Raw genomic sequence first — 22309 nt, 5'->3', positions numbered from 1 at the left:
AAGATTGAAACACAGGAGAACCATTTCTCCTGTGAGATTTTTTTTTGAGTGCTTATATGAGCACTCTTAAAATCCAACCACAGAATATCCTGTCTCTGAGTAATAAAATTGGGTACACTGGCTATAACAATATAAAGATGGCCAAGAACCAACATGGAATGGTGAATCACTTTAAGCATTTGGTCATGGGGCCAAAGACCAGGCTCTTGGACCTAGACTGTGTATCTAATTCTACTTCAGTAAATCAAGCTAGTGAAGGCAGTGGGTCTCATGCTGAGAAAAGAAGGAAGCCCAGACTCAAAGGGGTCTAATTCTGCTGGGAGGTTAAAGAATGGATGCCTTTCATGGAATTATTTTGTTCAACTTAGAATGAGTCGTCCACAGATGTGCCCATTTCATCTCATATTTGTTTATACCTCTGCTTTAAAACATTCTTTTTCTGCTGGGCACAGTGGCTCATGCCTGTAATCCCAGCACTTTGGGAGGCCGAGGCAGGCGGATCACCTGAGGTCGGGAGTTTGAGACCAGCCTGACCAACATGGAGAAACCCCGTCTCTGCTAAAAATACAAAATTAGGCGGGCATGGTGGCACATGCCTGTAATCTCAGCTACTCGGGAGGCCAAGGCAGGAGACTCGCTTGAACCTAAGAGGCGGAGGTTGCGGTGACCCGAGATCACGCCATTGCACTCCAGCCTGGGCAACAAGAATGAAACTCTGTTTCAAAACACAAAAACAAAAGCAAACAAACAGGCCGGGCGCGGTGGCTCAAGCCTGTAATCCCAGCACTTTGGGAGGCCAAGGCGGATGGATCACGAGGTCAGGAGATCGAGACCATCCTGACTAACACGGTGAAACCCCGTCTCTACTAAAAATATTTAAAATTAGCCAGGCATGGTGGTCGGTGCCTGTAGTCCCAGCTACTCGGGAGGCTGAGTCAGGAGAATGGCATGAACCCAGGAGGTGGAGGTTGCAGTGAGCCAAGATCACGCCACTGCACTCCAGCCTGGGTGACAGAGCAAGACTCCATCTCAAAAAAAAAAAAACCCATTCTTTTTCTATATAGATGTATTAAGGCTGATGTTTCTAGCATAACCAAAATTTGTATAATCTAGAAATAACTTCCATTTGCTAATACTCATTATGCAAGATGGAAATTGCTCTTAAGAGCTTACGGTTTGTATTTATAGGGACACTACATGGATAGATGCCTGTGGCCACATGTGTCTCACATTTAACTGTAAAATAGATACCAACGTCCATCCAGCATAGAGTGATTTGAAATATAACATTTAATTTCCAAATGTTAGTTTTGCTCAGAAAAATATAAAGCCTGTCTGGTTAGAGAAGAATTTATGGAATGATGCTTCAGGGCTGTTTTAATTGAAGTTGTGTCTTTACTTCAGTTAAAGCTCTCAGGGACAGTAATGATAAACAGGGTTCATAGCAGTGGACTTCCTCTAAGGAAAAGCAGCTCTTGTCCCCAGCTTCCAGGAACTGGGACCATGGTTTCCAAATCAGTCACACACAGACCCACCCCCTGCCCTCAGTGTCCCATAGTTGGTCTTGAAATCTTCCTGGCATTTGGCTGGAGACAAAAAGAGGGCAGGGACATAGCAGCTTCTAAAGGATTATGGCTCCAAAGTGGAAAGCTCATCTGCAGTGTGCAACTGCTTCAGGCTTGTTCATTCATTTTTTCATTTTTGATTCACATATTCATGGCCCTCTGCAAGTTCATCTTCGTCTGCCTTTTCAGTTTAATCTTTTTATTTTGTGAGACAAGGTCTCACTTTGTCCCCCAGGCTGGCGTGCAGTGGCGTGATCATGGTTCGCTGCAGCCTCAACCTCCTGGGTTCAAGTGATCCTCTTGCTCCAGCCCCACCAAGTAGCTGGGACTACAGGCATCGCCACCACGCCCATGCTAAGGTTTTTATTTTTTGTAGATACAGGGTTTCGCCATGTTGCCCAGGCTGGTCTCGAACTCCTGGGCTCAAGCAATCCACCTGCCTCCACCTCTCAAAGTGCTAGGATTACAGGTGTAAGTCACCTTGCCCGGCCTTTAGTCTAATCTCTTGCTTCTTCTCACATAGTCCAGCTGAACTATTTCCTGAGCATTTTCCATTTTTCCATGCCTCTGTGCCTCTCTATATACCATTTTTTTCTATCTAGAATACTTTTGCCTCTCCTTCCACTTACTCCTCCTCTCAGTCTCTATATATCCAAATGCTACCCATGCTTTCCAGCCTCAGTTTAAATGCTCCTTCCTCCATAATGTCTTTTCTGATCCTAAAACACTCCTACCTAATCCAGAGGTGATTACTGTCTCCTCTAAACTTCCTCTCTTTCTCTGTACCTTGTTGAGACACTGTAACACAATAGATAACAGCATAGCCACTTATGAATTGTGTGGCTTTGGGCAAAATTCTTCTCCGAATCTGAGACCTTAAATTTGTACAATGGAGACAATGATACCTGTCTCATAGTATTCTTGTAAGAATTAAATGAGATTAGGTATGCTAAGAACCTACACAGCTCTCAATTGTAGCTGTCCTTGAGGACAGAGACGACATCTTGTTCAACTTTGTACTCTCAGCACTTAGCATTGCACTTGGCCCAGGGTGGTACTATGTGAATGTTTGTGGAGTAAATAGGTACCCCTTTAGTAATGGGAATGTGGTGGAGATGTGCAAAGTGTTTTCCAGCTATTTAGGAGGTGATCTTTTGTGTCTGTCACTTGCCTTCCAATGGCTCCCTTGTCAGCCTACAAAATGGAGCTGTCCTTCTCTGTTTCTAAATTAAAAGTCAGGTCAAGCAATGCAAATTTTGTGCTTGGTGCTTCATTCCAGCTCTCTGATTATTCCCTGAGGATTTCGCTCTCCTTTGTAGAGTCTGGAGCTCATCCTTTGCTGAGGACTTGAATCCATTCAGATTTTGCATTGTTAAGTTTTCAGCCAAGTTCAGCTAGTTTGGTAGTTTGTTTGTTTATCCTTGGCCAAAATATGACTTCCTCTTTTTTCAAAGTGTCTTTGAAAGGTATCATAAAGGTTTTGGTACATTCAAAAGATCATTAAATATTTTATGTGTATATAATGAGAAATTCTTTGTTTTCTCCTAAACTGCCCCTCTGGTAAAGTCAAGAGGAAAGCATGTGTTATAAGTGGGCCTTAGTTTTTATTTGTTGGATTTGGGCCTCTCTCCATTCTCTTTTTGGCAGATACCTGGAGTATATTGAATTCCAAGTTGACTTTCAATCAAACGGCATTTCTATATTTCCTTAAGAAAAATACTCCTAGGGTAAAGGAAAAATGTCTTGAGTGCCAAGAGGGACTGGTCGATAGATTTTGACCACATTTTCAGGAGCTAAGGCAAGGATAAATTCAAACCTGGATCAGAGAACTCAAATGGAAGAAAAGCAGCCTACTAAAAGGGCTCTGCCACAGGCCATTGGTTTCACTGCCAAGGGGGATATGAGTTTTGTCCTTCATAGGAAAATATGCAGCTCTTTAATATTCTATCAGAACCAGAGGATGCTGTTCATGGGGTGTGATTTGACCACATTCAGAAATTTAGCCATAATTTTAAAACGTGTGGGACATTACTCTGTGTTGTTGTTGCTGTTTTCTTAGAGCCATGGTAAGGGCCTAGTGGGTGAGACAGATTGGATATGCAACACTATGTCATAGATATACATCTTCCTTAACCTTGAACACCCTAGGATGGGAGCAAGACAGGGCTCACCTGGGAAACTCAGCATTCAACCCATGGTCTGTTACTCAGGAGGCACCCTATAAGTATTTGAATGAATGGAAAGTACTTGTCTACAAGAATGCCTTTTTTAGAGCTTCCTCCTGGCATCAGTGTGGGAGGAACATTGGAGAAATACTCATCAGCCTTTCCTCTGCCTTCTGACTCTTACGGCAATTCCTGCTTGAGGGTCAATGAAGTTTGGAAGCTGGTAGAGGGAAAGGGAAAGATTCCTTTTAAATTTTTATTTAATCTTCCCTATCTACTTGAGATCTGTTGATGTCTGGACAGATGTTAAGGCTTTTGTTTTTGTTAATTGCTCATCACTTTGAACAAATCTCTTTCTCTAGCCTAGAAGCCAGGCTTGAGCTAAATGACAGGGCCCATTAGTATTAGTCTCCTTGGGCTCTGTGTATCTGGTGATGAAAAGTAGGATAAAGCTGAGGGGATGAGGTCCTGTCTGTAGGAGGAAGATACCTGGGGCCATACTTTATCCTGGATTCTGCTCACCTTCCCCAATTCAAACCAATTGGTGAATATTTTATTTGCATAGAACACCTGCAGGTATACATGTATGTTATGTTCAATGTGATACTCTATGTGATCTTTGTAGGTTTTTCAGGCTTGGTAACAGTACAGCTAAAGATTTTGGAAGGGTGGAGAGGCAAGTATTAATGCCAGTTCATTTGACTTCTCTATCACCACCATGTGAATAGAACTTTTATTTAAAAAAAGAAAAGAAAAGCCAAACAAGCCCTAATGTCTCATGCTATGAACAGAAGTGCCTGCAATATAGGTCAAGCCTTACATGTCCTCTCCAGAGTAGGACCACCCTACTGGAGTCTGGAGGTAGATGATATTTCCTGAGCTGCATGTCTGAATCCATCACTCCCTCCCCTGGCTCCTGTTCTCCAGACAAATGGTCTAGCCATCTTGCTGGAATCGGCAATATCATCCAAACATATGGCAGTCTTTGGAGGTATCTAATGGGCCAGCAGTGCACATTATGGTGATATCATGTTGGAACCTGACAAGTTCTATGTGTAAAGCTCAATTGTGCTTAAAAGGAAGTTCCATGGCCAATCTGTTCATGGACCTGACTGCTTTATTTAGAAAAATTAAAGTCACTCTTCCAATTTGATCAACAAATACTTATTGGGGTCCCATTAAATACCAAGCCTTATATGAAAAACTTTACATAAACACTGTCATTTAATTCTCTTGGCAACTTTGTTGGGGAGGTAATTTTTACAACTTTGGAGATGATAAAATTAGGGCTTAAAGAAGTGAAGTCTTACTGCTGGCAAGTGGTAGAGCTTGGATTTGAATTGAGGTCTGTCTCTTCCTCAAACTCTCCCTATTCTGCCCTGTGGCATCCCAGGAATTCTTTTTCCTTCTTACTTCCAATTATTTCATAGCCCAGTTCTACCAAAAAGCATAACTCTATTAAGGGTTCCACAGTTACAAAAGTCCTTTGGGGATGAGCCCTTTAACCATTGTTCATGAGGACCTTTGAAGTTTCCCAAGTTCCTCCTTAGTCAGTTGCATGCATATAATAAAAGTGGTCTTGTTGATGGCACAGGAACCTACTTTCATCACCATTAACTTGGGAAGGCACGAGGAATGAAAAGAAGGTGATGAGAGAGAGAGAGAGCAAGAATTCAATGCAGCCAGTTATTTCAGTTCAACTCACAGATATTTACTGAGCATCTCCTTCATGCCTAGCACAGTGTTAGGCACAGTGAGAATAAAGAGGCTATATATACAGCACCTGCTCTGTAGGAGAAAGGAAGACACAGAAGAACCAAAGAGTTTGGGCTGAATTCTGTGAACAGTTGTGAGGCATTGGTGACTTTTGAGCAGAGAAGTGACAACTGCTCCCAAGGTATGCTTTTATTCATTCCTTCTGGGCTATTGCGGGGGTCAGGAGAGAGCAGCTGTTGAGGAGGGATGGGGCAGTGGGCGTTGAAAAAGCCAGACTCTACTATGCTGGGGTATTAAAGATGCAACAGTTTCTGCATCTTTGCCTAGCACCTCCCATACATGTGAAATCCCACAGTTTAATGGAAAGGATATAAACCATCTGCAGAAACATATTTGTTTAAAAAGGAGACACCAGCATGAAGACTTAGCAACTTTGAACCAGTTGAAAGAAGAGCAGCTGCCTGATATTTTCATAGTGGATCTATTGATTGTTCATCTTCCATTCTTCTTGTGATTTTTATTACTAGCATATTTCTATTGATTGTGCCAGAAAGATCCTTGAGAGAAAGAAGAATTTGTAAATTGTTACTTTAGAGAGATTAAAATCTATGTAAGAGTTAAAGTTTCTGTAGGTTTGGTCCATTGGCATGCACAGTTAAAGTGCATAAGATTTTGGAAGTCATTTTATATCATGAGGGCCGATGGAGGTCAGGAATTTTCCATCCCTGTTCACCTTTTCATGGAATGCTTACACTTAATCAGCACCTACTGTGTGCCAGACACCATGCCAATGCTTTCACATATCCTTACAGCAATTTTGTTTTATAGGTGAGGAAACTAGGGCCCAGGGAAGTTATATAACTTACCCCAAATCAAAATTGGTATGCAGTAGAGCCAAAGTTGATGGCTGTGTTTACTGGTTCCAAGTCTAGAACTTTTACCACCACACCACCCACCTCTCTCACTGATCTATATCATACTCCTAGAGTGTGTGTACACAGGGTGCATCACTAGAAAGGGATGAGAGTCTCTGACTTGCTCATGACCACCCATTGTCGTTTAAACAAAGCACAGGGCCATGCAGAAATGGGGTTCAAGCCTCAAATTTTGATGAGGGAAAGGAACATGTTGGGAGGACTGGGTACTGACACAACGCTGCCAGCCCAAGAAGGTTGCCCTGATCAGCTATAAGACAGCATGAAGTCAACAAATCTCTTCTGAGGATATGGAAGGACTATAATGAAAATGACATCAAGAGGGGAACAAAAACACACTAGTCCTGATTCTCAATTTTTGTCCCAGATAGAAGCATAACAATGCTTCTTGGTGGGTACAGATCCATATCACTTCTGTGCATCCATCTCTCCTCTCTCTTAAAAGACCAATGGGCTGGTGGCAGAGTTAAAGACTGGTAAATAGGCCCAGACCAAACTAACAGTGGCGTATCACTCTAGTTTGTGCCTGAATCCCAGACTTGATCCTAGGACCCCTTTCAGTTCCCTAACTCCTCTGCTTGGTTATGATTTCATAATTTGGAGTTGGCCTAAGCTCTCCAGCACACTCTTTCCAAAATACTTCTAGGCGAAGGCTGGGAGTGGGAAATACAGCCTTATGAAATAGTTGGCTAGGGCCCCACCCCTTCTCACAACTGGAAATGGGAAATAGGGCTTAGCTTGGTTAAATAAAACATTCATTAATACCTGGGACTGGGGTCCTGGTTATGGAGGATTAAAATTTGGGAAAACCTTTTCAGAAAATGAAGAGCCAAGTAGTCTGAAAAAGCAAGTATTGGAATTTTGTTATCTCAGAAATGCTCCATGTGCTGGCTTGTTTTTCATCAGTAATAAAGCTATGAGGAGCAACAAGTTGATTTATATCTGAAAATCTAGGATCTGGCATTGCAAAATAGTTGCTGGAACTTAATGCAAGAAAATAGTTAATATCTTTAGATTTAGCTATTATCTATAATCTTTTATTTTCTCTTTTGAGCAAAATGTATAAATCTGATTGTTTCTAATGTTTTTATCACTAAGTACAAGTATGTATATTAAAAGCTCAGTATAACTATCTTGACACAAGTCAGTTGAACTGCCTTTCTAAAATAGAAAGTTGAATTCAACAAAACAGCTCTAAGGCCTAGTCCCAGCTACTCAGGAAGATCGCCTGAGCCCAGGGGTTTGAGGTGTCAGTGAGCCATGATCAACGCCACTACACTCCAGCCTGGGTGGCAGAGAGAGATCCCTTCTCTAAAACAAACAAAATCCAGCTCTTTTGTATTCAATTCATAGCATTGGATAGTCAGCTTGCCTTTTTTTTCCCCTCAAGTGTTTTGGTATCATGTAGCCCAGCTTCATTTATTGGTTCCTTAAAAGAATTATTTTAAATACCTCCAAACCCAGCCTTGCAGAATACTCCCCTACCCCTCTTCAGGGACAACAACATAGTTTAGTTGTCCTTTTTATCTCTCCCTGTTCCTGACCATTTCCCTCTCTTTGATCCACAAACTGGGACATTTATAATATCTAATATAATTTCTTCTACCATCCTGTGAAGGCAGTGATATTGTCCCTATTTTGCAGATTAGCAACAAAAGGCTCAGATTTGAAGGACTGTGGTCACATGGCTAGTAGTTGACCGGAGCTACTCAATCTCTCATGCGGTCCCTCCAGATCCTAACACTCCCATAATGGTTCTATGGTGGTGATCCCCCTTTCTAATGACTCCTGTGGAAACAGACTAGTATCTACTCAGAATGGACCTGCCCATAGCAAATTTCATCTAAGTCCTACTTTACTATATTAACTACATCGCAGATGGAGACTGAGGTGCAGACATTAAGTCATTTATTCTTTTTTTTTTCTTTTGACACCGATTCTCACTCTTTCGCCCAGGCTGAAGTGCAGTAGCACGATCTCAGCTCACTGCAACCTCCATCTCCTGGGGTCAAGCAATTCTCGTACCTCAGCCACCCGAGTAGCTGGGATTACAGGCGCCCACCACTGTGCCTGGCTAATTTTTGTACTTTTGGTAGAGACAGGGTCTCACTATGTTGGTCAGGCTGGTCTCAAACTCCTGAGCTCAAGCAATCCACCTGTCTCAGCCTCCCAAAGTGCTGGGATTACAGTTGTGTGCCACTGTGCCCAGCCAGGTCATTTATTCTTAATCTTGGGAAAAATCAGCAGGAAAATCAGGATGAGAACCTGATACCTCTAAGGGGAACTGGACCAGGCTGCCTCCTTACTTTAATGCTGCTTGGAAAACTGCTCGTGACTCCTTCGCCTTTTTGATTTCACATAAATATTCCAAGGTACCCAAACATTTTTCAGGCACTATTTTCGCTTTTTAAAATTCTCTCAAAGTTAAAACAGAATGCCTGTATGTCTGTGCATGTACATATTTTAGAACTGTGTGCTTTATGTACTGTGGCTTGAAAGCCTTCTATGTTATTTTGATTTTATAAATGTTTTCATAATCACCCAAATGGTGCAGTTCATGCTTTTGTCATCGAATATAAACTAAATTTCCTAATGGAAAATGCATTCATTCTGGAACAATGCCAGAAATTGTCCAAAGAAGATACTTGAAGTTTGTGTCATAAAATATCTGTGTGGGTAAATTATCAGGTGTTCAACTAAAACTACAGAACTGATTTTTTAATTCCTATTGACATCATTGCAAGTGCTCCAAATTCTATCACTTGTGCACTTCACATGCCTTCTTCATAATTAACATAAAGAAATTAATGTCTTACAAGCTTCAATATTTGATGCCATATGAATCCTGAGGATATTTAAAAGGAGAAGAAATGTAAATAGGATGAAATTCTTAAGCAAGATTACTGATATGACAGGACTAAAGAGCTTCAGAGTGTGTGAAAAGTGCCTCTTTTCTTCCCTTTAATAAGTCCATTACTTGCACTTGGGCATATTTTAAGGTCCTTTTCATGCTGAATCTGGAGTTGGGCATGCTTTGCATTTCAAGCTTTGTCTATGAATCAGTAAAAGCCAAAGTTATTTCTGCTTTAAAATAACAGGAGCCAGGAACAGCTAATCTCTTTTCATTCTGAGTTCCTTACATTATTTTAGTGGACAAAGTTTGTGTTGGCTACAAAACAGGCCATTCACAACATCTATGAGAAGGAATTTAGGTAAGAATGAAGAGAGATTGTAGGATGTATAAAGACTCCCTCTCCTGAGGCCATTAAGAAATTCCAAATTGGCACTGTTTTGAATAGTGACATTGCATTAGCCTTGCTAATTTCAGTAATTCAAGCTGATAGCTTCTGTTTACCAATCTTTTGGATAAAACCTTCCCATCACTACAGTACCAATGTGCTTCTCAGCTAAGGTGAGTTGGTATTTTAAAATAAGTGATGGAGGGGGAAGGTAGTGAAGCAAGTTGGAGGTTGATGATGGGCAGCATGGTAGCACCTCTTTCTCTGTCAGAAACGCTTTGAAAAGAGGTATATGTCTTTACTTCCTCAGTAAGACAGGCCTTTTGCTTTTCTTTCTTTAAGCAGGAATGAGAGAGAATATGAGACAGAGGATATGTCACTCCCTTACCTCATTGCATCTGACCTCTTTGATGATCTCTGTCTGGCTTTTAATTGTGTTCATTTCAATAATTGGGACAGGCAAAGAAACCCATCCAAGATTTTTTAATTTTTATTTTTAATTGGTAAATAATAATTGCATGTATTTGTGGAGTACAATGTGATGTTTCAATATATGAAGAAATAGGGACTTTTTTTTTTTTTGAGACAGAGTCTCACTGTGTCGCCCAGTTTGGAGTGCAGTGGCATGATCTCAGCTCACTGCAATCTCCACCTCCCCAGTTCAAGCAATTCTCCTGCCTCAGCCTCCCAAGTAGATGGGACTACAGGCATGGGCCATCACGCCCAGCTAATTTTTGTATTTTTAGTACAGACGGGGTTTTGCCATGTTGACCAAGTTTGTCTCGATCTCCTGACCTCAGGTGATCCACCCACCTCGGCCTCCCAAAGTGTTGGGATTACAGGCGTGAGCCACCATGCCCGGCCAAAATAGGCACTTTTTAATAGTAGGAATACATTTGCTCTTCAGTTCGTAAAATGTGCAAATAAACTTACAAACAGTTAATGGCAAAAACTCCAGGGGGAAAGGGAACTCCTTTTTTTAAAGACATTGTCCTAAGTCTCTCTTGAATAACTGGCATCTCACATCATGCTGGAAAAATGTACACAGGGAAATCTTCAGAGCCTCACAAGCTGAGAAAGTAGAAAGATTGCCGAGTGTTTGAAAGGGTTTAGGGTTTCATTTGAAGAGCAGCTACACCCCACCGTGCCTATGCTCTGATACACAGAATATGGGTGAGGCGGTCCATTGGAAATCACCCTGAGTGAATTCACAGTGAACCTTGGGTGACAGGACACTGACGGCAATCCACACCTTCCGAACATCCGGCCCTGGGTTATTGACCTGGGATTCCTGTCCGTCAGTGACTAAGACCAAAGCACAGATTCTTCCCTGAATACTTTGGCTCATCAAACAATAAAGATTAGAGAGAGAAAAAGAGAGATGAGAGAGAGAAAGAGACAGGAGCAGAGACATAGAGAGACAGAGAGAAAGGAAGGACATCAAAGGGTGGGCGGGTAGATGATGTGAAATGCATGAGAGATTTTCTTAGGTTCCAGAGCAGTGTTTCTCCAGAAATGTTAATGGCTTTCTCAAATAAAAAATAACATCTTACGCTTGAGGAGCACGTTAAAGTTTACAAGTATTATTTACATATCTTATCTCATTTGAGAAGTGAGTACAAGTATTTAGTATTATACAAGTTTGATACTAAATAATCAAGTCTTCTCTGCTTATAGACACAGCAGGAAAGGTCTGTGGATCAGTCTTTCCCAGGTTTCTCTTCTCAGAACACTCCACAGGCTCTGCCCCTGCTCAGAATCCCCATGGCACTCTGTTCATGCCTCTCTTGTGGCACTCATCACATTCTACCTTGGCCTACGGGGGGTTTTGGTACTTGCCCCATCTTCCCCACAAGATAGAGAGTTCCTTGAGATTTCCTGAGTTTTCCTCAACTCCGTACCCACTATGGCACCTGGCACAGTGTCTAGCAAACAACAGGTACCCAATTTATGTTCATCGCTGCCCTCCTAACACCTATGCCATGTGTCAATCTCCTGCTAGATGGAGAGCCCCTTGAGGGCAGGCTCCATGGGTTCTCCTGTCCCCAATGCCTGGCCCGCTGGTTCCTCAGACATCCATAAATGTTCTCAGCACTCAAGAAATGTTACATAAATTGGCTGGACATGGTGGCTCACGCCTGTGAGGCGGAGGTTGCAGTGAGCTGAGATCATACTACTGCACTCCAGCCTGGATGACAGAGCGAGATTTTGTCTCAAAAGAAAAAAAAAGAAAGAAAGAAAGAAAGAAATGTTACATAAATTAATGAATTAATTACATTATACTAAACATACTCAATATAAACCCTTCCTTTCACCTGTGGCTGCCACACCCACCACTCGTCCACTTTAAGGGCTTATTCATGAGGACACATTTATTTTTATTTATTTATTTATTTATTTATTTATTTATTTATTTACTTACTTATTTTTGAGACAGAGTCTTGCTCTGTTGCCCAGGCTGGAGTGCAGTGGTGTGATCTTTGGCTCACTGCAACCTCCACCTCCCGGATTCAAGCGATTCTCCTGCCTCAGCCTCCTGAGTAGCTGGGATTGCAGGCCCTGCTACCATGCCGGGCTAATTTTTGTATTTTTAGTAGAGACAGGGTTTCACCATCTTGGCCAGGCTGGTCTTGAACTCCTGACCTCGTGATCCATCCACCTAGGCCTCCCAAAGTGCTGGGATTACAGGCGTGAGCCACCGCACCTGGCCGATGACACATTTAAACCAAACTGTTTTCATCAGGCCTCAGGTAATGGCGACAAAGATCAGCATCCAGAATTTGATACGTTTTCAACCCTATCTTTCCCCAAAAAGATACTCCAAAAAGCAAATCGTAAGGGTTAGAAGAGATTTTAGAGAAAGAAGCTATAGAGAAAGGAAAAGAAAAAGTAGTGAGATAAAGAAGGTAGGTGAGAGAGCCTGGAAGGCGAAGGATGCTGTCTGAGTCTGTTCTCAGGGCCCTGCACCCTCTAAATGCTGCCTGGCCAAAGCATGAGAAAAATGAGACAAAGAAAAAAAAAAAAAGCCCAAATTGAAAAGGGAGCCTCCTAAACTTGGTCTTAGGCTTCATACTGAGGAAAAAAAGAAAGATTTGCAGGTTACTTACCTTGTTGTTAGTCAAAAGGGGGCTTCACATTTCTCCCCTGGGTGACCTAAGCTATAATCTGTCTCCATAGCCCTCTGTAAATATTTCTTCCATTTGTGAGGAAATTATAGTGACTTCAGAGGCTCAACTTACTTTCTCTAATCTCTTGGCAAAGAAATTAAAAAGACAACCAGAAATTGCTGTCCGACCGGATTTCTGCATGGCATAGGGAGAACCACTTGGGAGAAATCAATCGAGAAAAAAAAAATCTTTATTTAAGGGGAATGCATCTTTAATCATGGTAATCCCTTTAGTAAATTGCATTCTCTGGTGACATTGCATACCTAATTACAGTTTGCTCATTTTGATTTTCTCTTTATATTGTTGCCTGCTTCTTATGCAGTTGTGGATCTGCAGGCTGAGCAATGAATTTACTGCTGGCATTAAAAACTCTCGGTCAAGTGGGTCTCAGGTCCAAAATGTCACCACTTTGGGAAGTGAATCCAAGGTCACCAGACAATTATATTTCCTTTAGCACTTCCTCAAAAGATGTATTCTCCACCCTCTTAAATCATTTGGGTTATTTTCTCAAAGAAGTATTCTCAACATCTTAAAACTGTGAAAATAAAAATGAAATATTGTAAATGGGTTCAACCAAGCACCATAGTGGTAGCTCACATACTAGGATTTGCTCCATAATCCAACTGATATAGCCTCGTGTCATGCTGGGGTTTGTTTTGTTTTGTGTTGTGTTTGTTTTTGTTTTTGTTTTTTAATGAAAGCACTCTATTGCCAAGTCATATTCTGTGGTGAGTCACTGTGACTCCCAGGTCATCTTCTGTAGCAGTTGTGCCCAGCCAGATTCATCAGATGTTGAAAATGCTGTTTGTTTCAAATAAATATTTTTTATTTATTTATTTATTTTTATTTTTTATGTTTTTGAGACGGAGTCTTGCTCTGTCACCCAGGCTGGAGTGCAGTGGCGTGATCTCGGCTCACTGCAAGCTCCACCTCCCAGGTTCACGCCATTCTCCTGCCTCAGCCTCCCCAGTAGCTGGGACTACAGGCGCCCGCCACCATGCCCGGCTAATTTTTTTGTATTTTTAGTAGAGACGGGGTTTCACTGTGTTAGCCAGGATGGTCTCGATCTCCTGACCTCATGATCCGCCTGCCTCGGCCTCCCAAAGTGCTGGGATTACAGGCATGAGCCACCATGCCCGGCCCCTTAAATGAATACTTTTTAATAGCAGTTGCATTAGGGTGATAGCATTATAAGATGATATTTCAAAAAAAAATCTTTATTTTTTTTTTAAATTATACTTTAAGTTCTAGGGTACATGTGTACAACGTGCAGGTTTGTTACATATGTATACATGAGCCATGTTGGTGTGCTGCACCCATTAACTCGTCATTTACATTAGGTATATCTCCTAATGTTATCCCTCCCCCCTCCCCCCACCCCCCCAAAAACTTTAATGTCATATTTCCCTGATAACCTCCTCTACATAATCTTTTTGACATCATTTTTAAGAAAAAAAAACATTACTCTCCCTTCTCTCAAAATATTTTTCTCCAACCAATCTGTACCACCTTCTGTCTTGTAACTTGTCCCCCATACAGCCTCCATTCCTACATGCCAGGACCTTGGCATGTAGGAATCACCATGTACCCAAAGGTGGTATGTTCTAGGATATTCACTACAGCATTGTTTATACAGGGAGAAATGAGAAACAACCTAAATGCCCATCAGTGGGAAAATGGTTAATTGTGTTATATTAATACTATGAAATTCCTTGCAGTAATGAGAAAGAAAGAGGTAGTTCCACATGTATGAACAGGCAGAGATTTCTAAGACATTACATTACAGTCTGAGCCTATGTATGCATATTCATGGAAAATCCAGTAATTACTCTTGGATAGTGCTAGGAGGGGGAGGTGAAAGGGGGCTCTCTTTTGTTACTCTATATACTTAGGCATTGTTTGAATCTTTAGCTTCAAGAATGTATTCACATGTTGAGTAGTTTTAAAATTAACAAAATAAAAGAACTCTATCAAGAGTTCAGGGAGGATGATTTGAGAGGGGACAAAACAGGGGAGCTGTCACAATAGTCCAGGTGAGAAATTATAAGAACATAATCTAAGCCGTAGCAAACAATGGTAATTGAAAGAAGAGTTCACAAAATATCAAGGAAACAGAATTTACAGGATGGGGTAATTAATTACAGCTGGAGGATGAAAAAGGAGGAGGAATCTGGGGGTGGCTGGCAGGTTTCTGGATTGGGCAACAGTAGAAGCATTTACTGAAAAAGGGGAACCTGGGAGGAGGGGCAGTTAAGGGAATAGAAATAGAAATGCTGCATTGCTGCATTCATCATTTCAGTGGCTTTTTTTTTTTATTTTTTTTTTTGAGATGGAGTCTCGCCTTGTCACCCAGGCTGGAGTGCAGTGGCACAATCTCGGCTCACTGCAGTCTCTGCCTCTCAGGTTCAAGCGATTCTCCTGCCTCAGCCTCCCAAGTAGCTAGGACTACAGGTGCATGCCACCACACCTGGCTAATTTTTGTATTTTTATTAGAGACAGGGTTTCACCATGTTGGCCTGGCTGGTCTTGAACTTCTGGCCTCAAGGGATCCACCCACCTTGGCCTCCCAAAGTGCTGGGATTACAGGCTTGAGCCACCACACCCAGCCTTCAGTGGCATGTTGAGTCTGAAATGCCTGAGAGACATCCAAGTAGAAATGGCCAGTGGGCAGTTAGATCTTCAGAAAGATGTCTGAGCTAGAGATAGATTTGAGAATCCTCAGCGATAAACAGAATCAGGGACATGGATGAGAGCATTTAGGAAGATTTGTAAGATGAGAAGAGTGGAAGGCCAAGGAAGAGATGAGAGAATATCCATCTTTAAGAAATGAGCAGAGGCAAAAGAGCCTGCAAAGGAATCTGAGAATGATCAGAGAAGTAGGAGGAGCATCCAGAAGGAAGTGGTGTAAGGGGGAACCAAGTTTCAAGACAGAGAGTGGCCAGCCTGGCCAGGTGGCATGCGCCCATAGTTCCAGCTACTTGGAAGCTGAGGTGGGAGGATTGCTTGAGCACAGGTGTTCAAGGCTGCAGTGAGCTATGTTTGCATCACTGCACTCCACCTGGGTGATAGAGTAAGACTCTTTCTCAAAAAAAGAAAGAAAAAATACCTGGGTGTAGTGGCATGTCCCTGTAGATACAGCTACTCCAGAGGCTGAGGCAGGAGGATCATATGAGCCCAGGAGGTCAAGGCTGTGTTAGAAACAAAATGCTTGTTCCTCAGTGCCACAAAGAAATAGCACTCAAACATAAATTTAATTTTCTCAGCAAGGCAATTTTTACTTCTATAGAAGGGTGCAACTCATGAATGGAGTAATGGCAAGAGCACACCTGAACAAGGGAAGGGAAGGGGTTCTTATTCCTGACGCTGGTAGCCCCTACTGCTGTGTCGTTCCCCTACTGGCTAGGGTTGGACCACACAGTCTAAGCTAATTCCAATTGGCTATTTTAAAGAGAGCAGGGGTATGAGCCAGAGCAGCAGGGTGAGTAGTTTGGTGGGGAGGACGGTTAGAAACAGGTAACTAAAGGTGACTTAGGTCAAAGCAGGTGACCAGGGGTGACTCAGGTCAAAGCAGGTGACCAGGGTGAGTCAGGATGGAGCAGGTGACCAGGGGAACAGATGTGAACTACTGATTAAAACTGGTGGAAAAGGTTGTTTACTGAAACTACAAGGAAGTTAAACTTTAAAATGCAGGACAAAGAACTGAACATACTGACATACTAATTCTTTGACGAGAAATCTAGAACTCACTGTATCTAACAGCTGCAATGAGCCATGATTGCATCACTGCACTCCAGCCTGGGCAACAGAGTGAGACCCCATCTCTAAAAAAAAAAAAAAAAAATTGCCAGATACAGTGGCTCACACCTGTAATCCTAGCACTTTGGGAGGCCAAGGTGAGTGGATCCCGAGGTCAAGAGATTGAGACCATCCTGGCCAACATGGTGAAACCCCGTCTCTACTAAAAATACAAAAATTAGCTGGGCATGGTGGTGCGCACCTGTAGTCCCAGCTACTCAGGGGGCTGAGGCAGGAGAATCACTTAAACCTGGGAGGTGGAGGTTGCAGTGAGCCGAGATTGTGCCACTGCACTCCAGCCTGGCGACACAGTAAGACTCCATCTCAAAAAAAAAAAAGAGAGAGAGAGAGAGAGAAAGAGGATAGTCTGTAGTATTGAATGCTGTAGAGAGCTCAGGATGGAAACCCTGAAAAGAATCCATTGAGGAATTAACTGTAAACTAGCATGAGGGATCTTATTGGGCTAATGAAAATGATCTAAAATTGGATTATAGTGATAGTTGCACACCTCAGTAAATTTAAAAATTATTGAATTCTGTGCTTGAAATGTACTTGAAATGGGTGAATTTTATGAATTTTGTTTTAAATTATGCCTTAATAAAGTTGTCAAAAATATAAATGGAAAAAAAGAATCCATTGAAATTTAGTTTAGGGCAAAATATTATTCCAAGGGGCACTTCTAGTCTGATCTCTTCCTAAATGGTTTGGGAAAAGCCCTGTGAAATAAAATGACAGGGAGTCTATGAGATTACTGATGCTACACCTCAACACTCCTATATTGCAATATCAATATTTAGCTTATTGTCTGATTTGCTTTTCACCAAGCTGATACTATCAACCTATGTCCTGTCCTCCTCTGGATAATTGCAGATTAGTTGTTTTACTTATTTTTATCATTTCGTATTTTTAGCACATATTTCTAGAAAAAAAGTAGGATGCCAGGCTATAAAGCCTCAATTTATACCTGTTTTAGTTGTTGTTGTTGATTGCATTTTAATGTGTTTAAACATGGATTCCTTATTGGCCCTACAGAAAGTGAGATTTCATACTGAAATCTCATCATTCATTTTCTGACACTTCTATGATGCCTGTCCTTCTCAGCCATTTTCCTTCTTAATTCGACTTGGCCAATCACACGATGTATTTGTCTTGGTTAATGGGCACATGTGATGTATTCTATAGTTAGGTAAAAACAAAATGGAAAACTTCTGCCCCTTCTTAGTTGTAAGGAACCAGGGCTGTCAATGGCCCTACTTAATTAAAGTGTTCGTTTCTTGCCAATTGCATCTTCTTTTTATTTTGGTTCAATATCTTCCTGCTGCTTATTATAGTCCTGCTTAGTGATCTGGCTGCCACTCTTTGTAGTAGAATTTTCCTTTTTCCCTTTCACATCTTTATAGCCGTGAGTTTGAGCCACTTAGCATCTTTTTACTTTTCCTGGCCTCCTTTTGCACTTGCTTGCTTTGTTCTAATGCCCACAGAGCTATTTGTATGAGGATCATCCAGCTTTTTCTCCTCAGTTGCCTTCCTGTTGGTTCCTTCCAACTTATGTCCTAATCATGTTCCCAAATTGAATTTTCTTCACCTGATGCCTCTTCTTTTCTTCCTCTGGATCCTGAGTGATGCCATTGTGTGATTGCATTGAGCAAAATATCTACTAACTGCGAATTAGTTTCCTATTGGGAGGGAGAAAAATTCAATGTAAACAATTGCTGAGTTGGTTGCTCCATCTTCTCCATAGGCAGTATCCTCATATGACCATCTTTACCGTATAGGCGCATTTCGTATTGCTTGATATGTATTCACACTATCCCTGAGATTAACCTCTAGTTTAATAAGCTGGATAGATTATGTGGTTTTTTCTCCCCACTCCAGGCAGGTCCGTGGTTATTTCCCTACAATTATGTCTTGGTCAATAACTCCTTGACTGATTTAAAGCCCTCCTCCCTAAGTGAGTCATGGTCTCCAAAAGACGCTGGTCCCTTTCTTTGAAAAGGATGCAAAGCAGTCTCTTTAGATTTCTCTCCAGTGTCTGTGTCAAAGCAAAGGTCACTTTAACCCTTATGCTTTCACCCTTCTTCCCTGCCATGAGACCTCTCAAGACCTGAATGAAATCTTAGACTCTTAGGGCTAGCAAGGGTCATCAGAAGCTATTTACCTTCACCCCCTCATTCCATGTTTGCATCCCTTCACCGACATCTCTACCTAATGGCTGTCCAAACTCTCATAGACTGCCTCCCAGAGATAGATCTCACTGCCTAGGGCCAGCCTATGCAATTTCCAGATTGCACTTATTATTAGAAAGTTCTTTATCTTTCAAGTCCAGTTTTCAGATTGTGTTATTAGAAAGTTCTTAATTTCTTTTAAATCCAAATCATTTTCCCCTTAGGGGAAAGACAAAGCCATGAATCAGCATTAACTAAAATGGCATGGCTATGGGGCAAGAAGAATCTAAGATGAAGAAAGAGAGAAGAGGAATGACAAAGAGGGTGCAGGCAGGTGCTGGGGTCAGGAAACAGGCAGGCATTATCAGATAAATAGGTCTGTGGAGCTAGAGGGGCACAGGAGGGAAACTGAGGTGACAGGCAGAAGTGCTGAGAGGAGAACAGTAAGGGAATGGAAACTGGTGGAAAATTAAAGAAGGAGATACTGGAATCTCTTCTAAAAGGAATGGAACCCAGACTAGAGGTTTAAATCAAAGTGGGGAGGAACAGAAAATCATTTTTAAGATTCAAAACCTATCAGAGGATTCCAACGTTGCCCTTTGCCTACAGCTGTGGAAAAGAGCATTATGGAGACAGGAGAAAATGTTTACTAGAACAAGGACTAGACAGAAGAGAAGGGAATAATTGGACACAGGAAATTAGTTTAAAGAGCAATGGAAAGAGAAAAAGAAGTGAATAGAGAAATGGAAAGGAGGGGGAATGAAAACACAGAACTTTTAGGTTAAAGAATTACATTTATTCCTGTGCCAGCACATAATTGTATTTTCCTGGCAAGCATCCTGCAGCCCTCTGCAAGGGAAAAGGGGTGCCGGCATGTGTGACTGCAGGGATTGAAGTCTTACTGCTTTGTACTATTACAGCCAAGCGAGGGACTTCATTAACGAGCCTGTGTTTTGATGTCACAGAGACAGGCACTGAAACTTCAATCACCAGCAGTCCCTGCACTTGAGAATCAGTGGTGATGGAAAGGGCAGGGTGTGGCCAAGGGCGAAGGGTGGGGTGGGGGGGGGCAGATTGTGAGGCTGGGACAGGGGTCAAAGGTATGGGAACACAATCATGAAGGTTCCAAGTAAGAAATGAATAGAACCTACTCATCAAAAACCCTGTTTCCTGCCCAGCATGGCACACAGATTGCCAGCATGTGTCAGCTGCTCACATAGCAAAGCATCAAGTTCCAGGCAGCAAAAGGGAATAAGAACATAATCTTTGTGGATTCCATCCACACTGAGTGTGGTAAACTGATGCTGTGGGTAATGAGGACTGAGTATTGCTCAGAAGTACCTTGGAATCTAGAGGTCAGGGCTTGAGCCCTGCCATTTGCTTCCTGAGCCACCCACCATTGGCCCTGCCTTTTTCTTGACTTCATGGATCAGTGGTGGCTCCTTCTCCTAAGGAAATCATCAGTTAGTAGAGATCAACTCCTTGGGAAGGGTGTCTTGTAAGGAGGCAGCCCTTCACCTGCACATTCTCAGTAGGGTGGAGATGTGTGTTCATTCATGCAGCCATTGTTTCCTGCATTCACTCAGTCATTCAACTGAATGACTGATGTTTTTAGGTGTTTGTGTTAGCCAAGCACTGTGTGGGAGTGACAGAGGGGAATAAGGTGAATTTCTTTCTTCAATGAAGCACAGTCTAGTTGAGGAGAGGAACATAGAAATGACTAACTCTACTGTGAGGCAGATGGAAATTAGTACTGTAATAGAGGTTCAATTCAATTAATACTCAGAGAGAGAAGTGATTTATTTGGCTTGAAGTGAGAAGGGAAGGCTTCCTGGAAGAGGCTATCATGTAAGTTGAGGCTTGAAAGATACAATTGTGGGGCCGGTCACAGTGGCTCACTCCTGTAATCCCAGCACTTTAGGAGGCCGAGACAGGCAGATCACCTGAGGTCAAGAGTTCGAGACCAGCCTGGCCAACATGGTGAAACCCCATCTCTACTCAAAATACAAAATTAGCCTGGCATGGTGGTGCATGCCTGTAATCCCAGCTACTTGGGAGGCTGAGGCAGGAGAATCTCTTGAACCCGGGAGGCAGAGGTTGCAATGAGCCGAGATCACACCATTGCACTCCAGCCTGGGCAACAAGAGTGAAACTCTGTCTAAAAAAAAACAAAACAAACAAACAGAAAGATACAATTGTGGATAGAAAAGAGAGGGTAGGTGGGAGACAGAAAGACAGAGGGGGGAGGAAGGAGAGAAAGAGAAAGAGAAAGGGAGAGAGAGAGAAAAGGATAGAAAGAGAGAAGGAGGGAGGGAAGACAGGAAGAGAGAGAGGGAGGGAAGGAGAAAAAGAAGGACAGGGAGGGAGGGAGAGAGAGGGAGGGAAGGAGAAAAAGAAGGACAGGGAGGGAGGGAGAGAGAGGGAGGAAGGTAAAGAGAGAGAGAGGGAGGATGGTAAAGAGAGAGAGAGGGAAGGAGAGACAGGAGAGGGGGGAAGGATGGAGGGAGAGAAAGAAGAGAGGGAGAAGGGGAGAAGAAGAGAGAGAGAGATAAAGAGGGGGGAGGGAGGGAGAGAGAGAGAGAGGCCATTCCAGGCTAAGGGAATAGCATGAAGAAAGACATGGGAACTCCAGAGTGCTTGGCATTTTCAGCAAATGGTGAATGGGATGGTATGACTGCAGCATATGGCACTTGGAGAAATATATGGGCAGTTGAAACTGGAAAGCAAGAAAAGATGAGCTGGGGAGGCTCATGAATGCCATGCTCAGGAATTAGGACTCTATCCCACATGCAGTAGGGAGCCATCAAAGGATTTTGAGGAAGAGAGAAATGTGTTCCAACATATGTTTCAGGAAAAGAGTTTTCTCTGGTTCCAGCTATCACAGAATGGAACATTCTTTCTTCCTGGATGGCAATGGGCCCCTGGAGAGGAATGGCTCTTATGTGGCTAAGGCATTGAGGACTGTGGGTGGCGGTGGTGGGGAAGCTGAAGGAAAGAGGAGAAATGGACAGCATCAAAAGAGATGGCACCTGTGTGAATGTGAGAATGGGCACTCGCTGACATGCAGGTCCAAAGGTGGGAAGAGAGGAGGATGGAGCCAGGATGACAGTGTGTGCTTCCGAGTAAATTGAGGGAAAATGAGTCTCAATTCTCCAAATCCCATTGATGATGAGTGTATTAGTCCATTTTTATGCTGCTGATAAAGACATGCCTGAGCCTGGGCAATTTACAAAAAGAAAAGAGACTTAATGGACTTACAGTTCCACATGACTGGGGAGGCCTCACAATAATGATGGAAGGCAAGGAGGAGCAAGTCACATCTTATGTGGATGGCGGCAGGCAAAAAGAGAGCTTGTGCAGGGAGACTCCCATTTTTAAAACCATCAGATCTCATGAGACTTATTCATTATCACAAGAAGAGCACAGGAAAGACCTGCCCCCGTGATTCAATTACCTCCCACCGGGTCCTTCCCACAACCCTTGGGAATTCAAGATGAGATTTGGGTAGGGACACAGCCAAACTATATCAATGAGGGAGAGATTTCATACTCAGAAAGTATTT

The 22309-nt window shown here is 42.5% G+C and overlaps 1 protein-coding gene across 4 annotated transcripts in view, besides 1 other annotated feature; it reads left to right on the top strand.

Moving 5' to 3' along the window:
- GPC3 (glypican 3) overlaps positions 1–22309 on the top strand; it is a 449850-nt gene that overhangs the window by 414654 nt on the left and 12887 nt on the right. The window lies entirely within an intron of this gene.
- Positions 15091–15887: an enhancer, noted in NCBI's record as "H3K27ac hESC enhancer chrX:132689082-132689878 (GRCh37/hg19 assembly coordinates)". NCBI's record gives its function as "activates a minimal SCP1, AML or CMV promoter by ChIP-STARR-seq in primed H9 embryonic stem cells {active_cell/tissue: H9 hESC(primed)}" and the evidence as "EXISTENCE:reporter gene assay evidence [ECO:0000049][PMID:30033119]".

This window comes from Homo sapiens, chromosome X (genome assembly GCF_000001405.40).
Source record: "Homo sapiens chromosome X, GRCh38.p14 Primary Assembly".
Taxonomy (NCBI): domain Eukaryota; kingdom Metazoa; phylum Chordata; class Mammalia; order Primates; family Hominidae; genus Homo; species Homo sapiens.
This window is presented reverse-complemented; position numbering and strand designations above follow the sequence as displayed.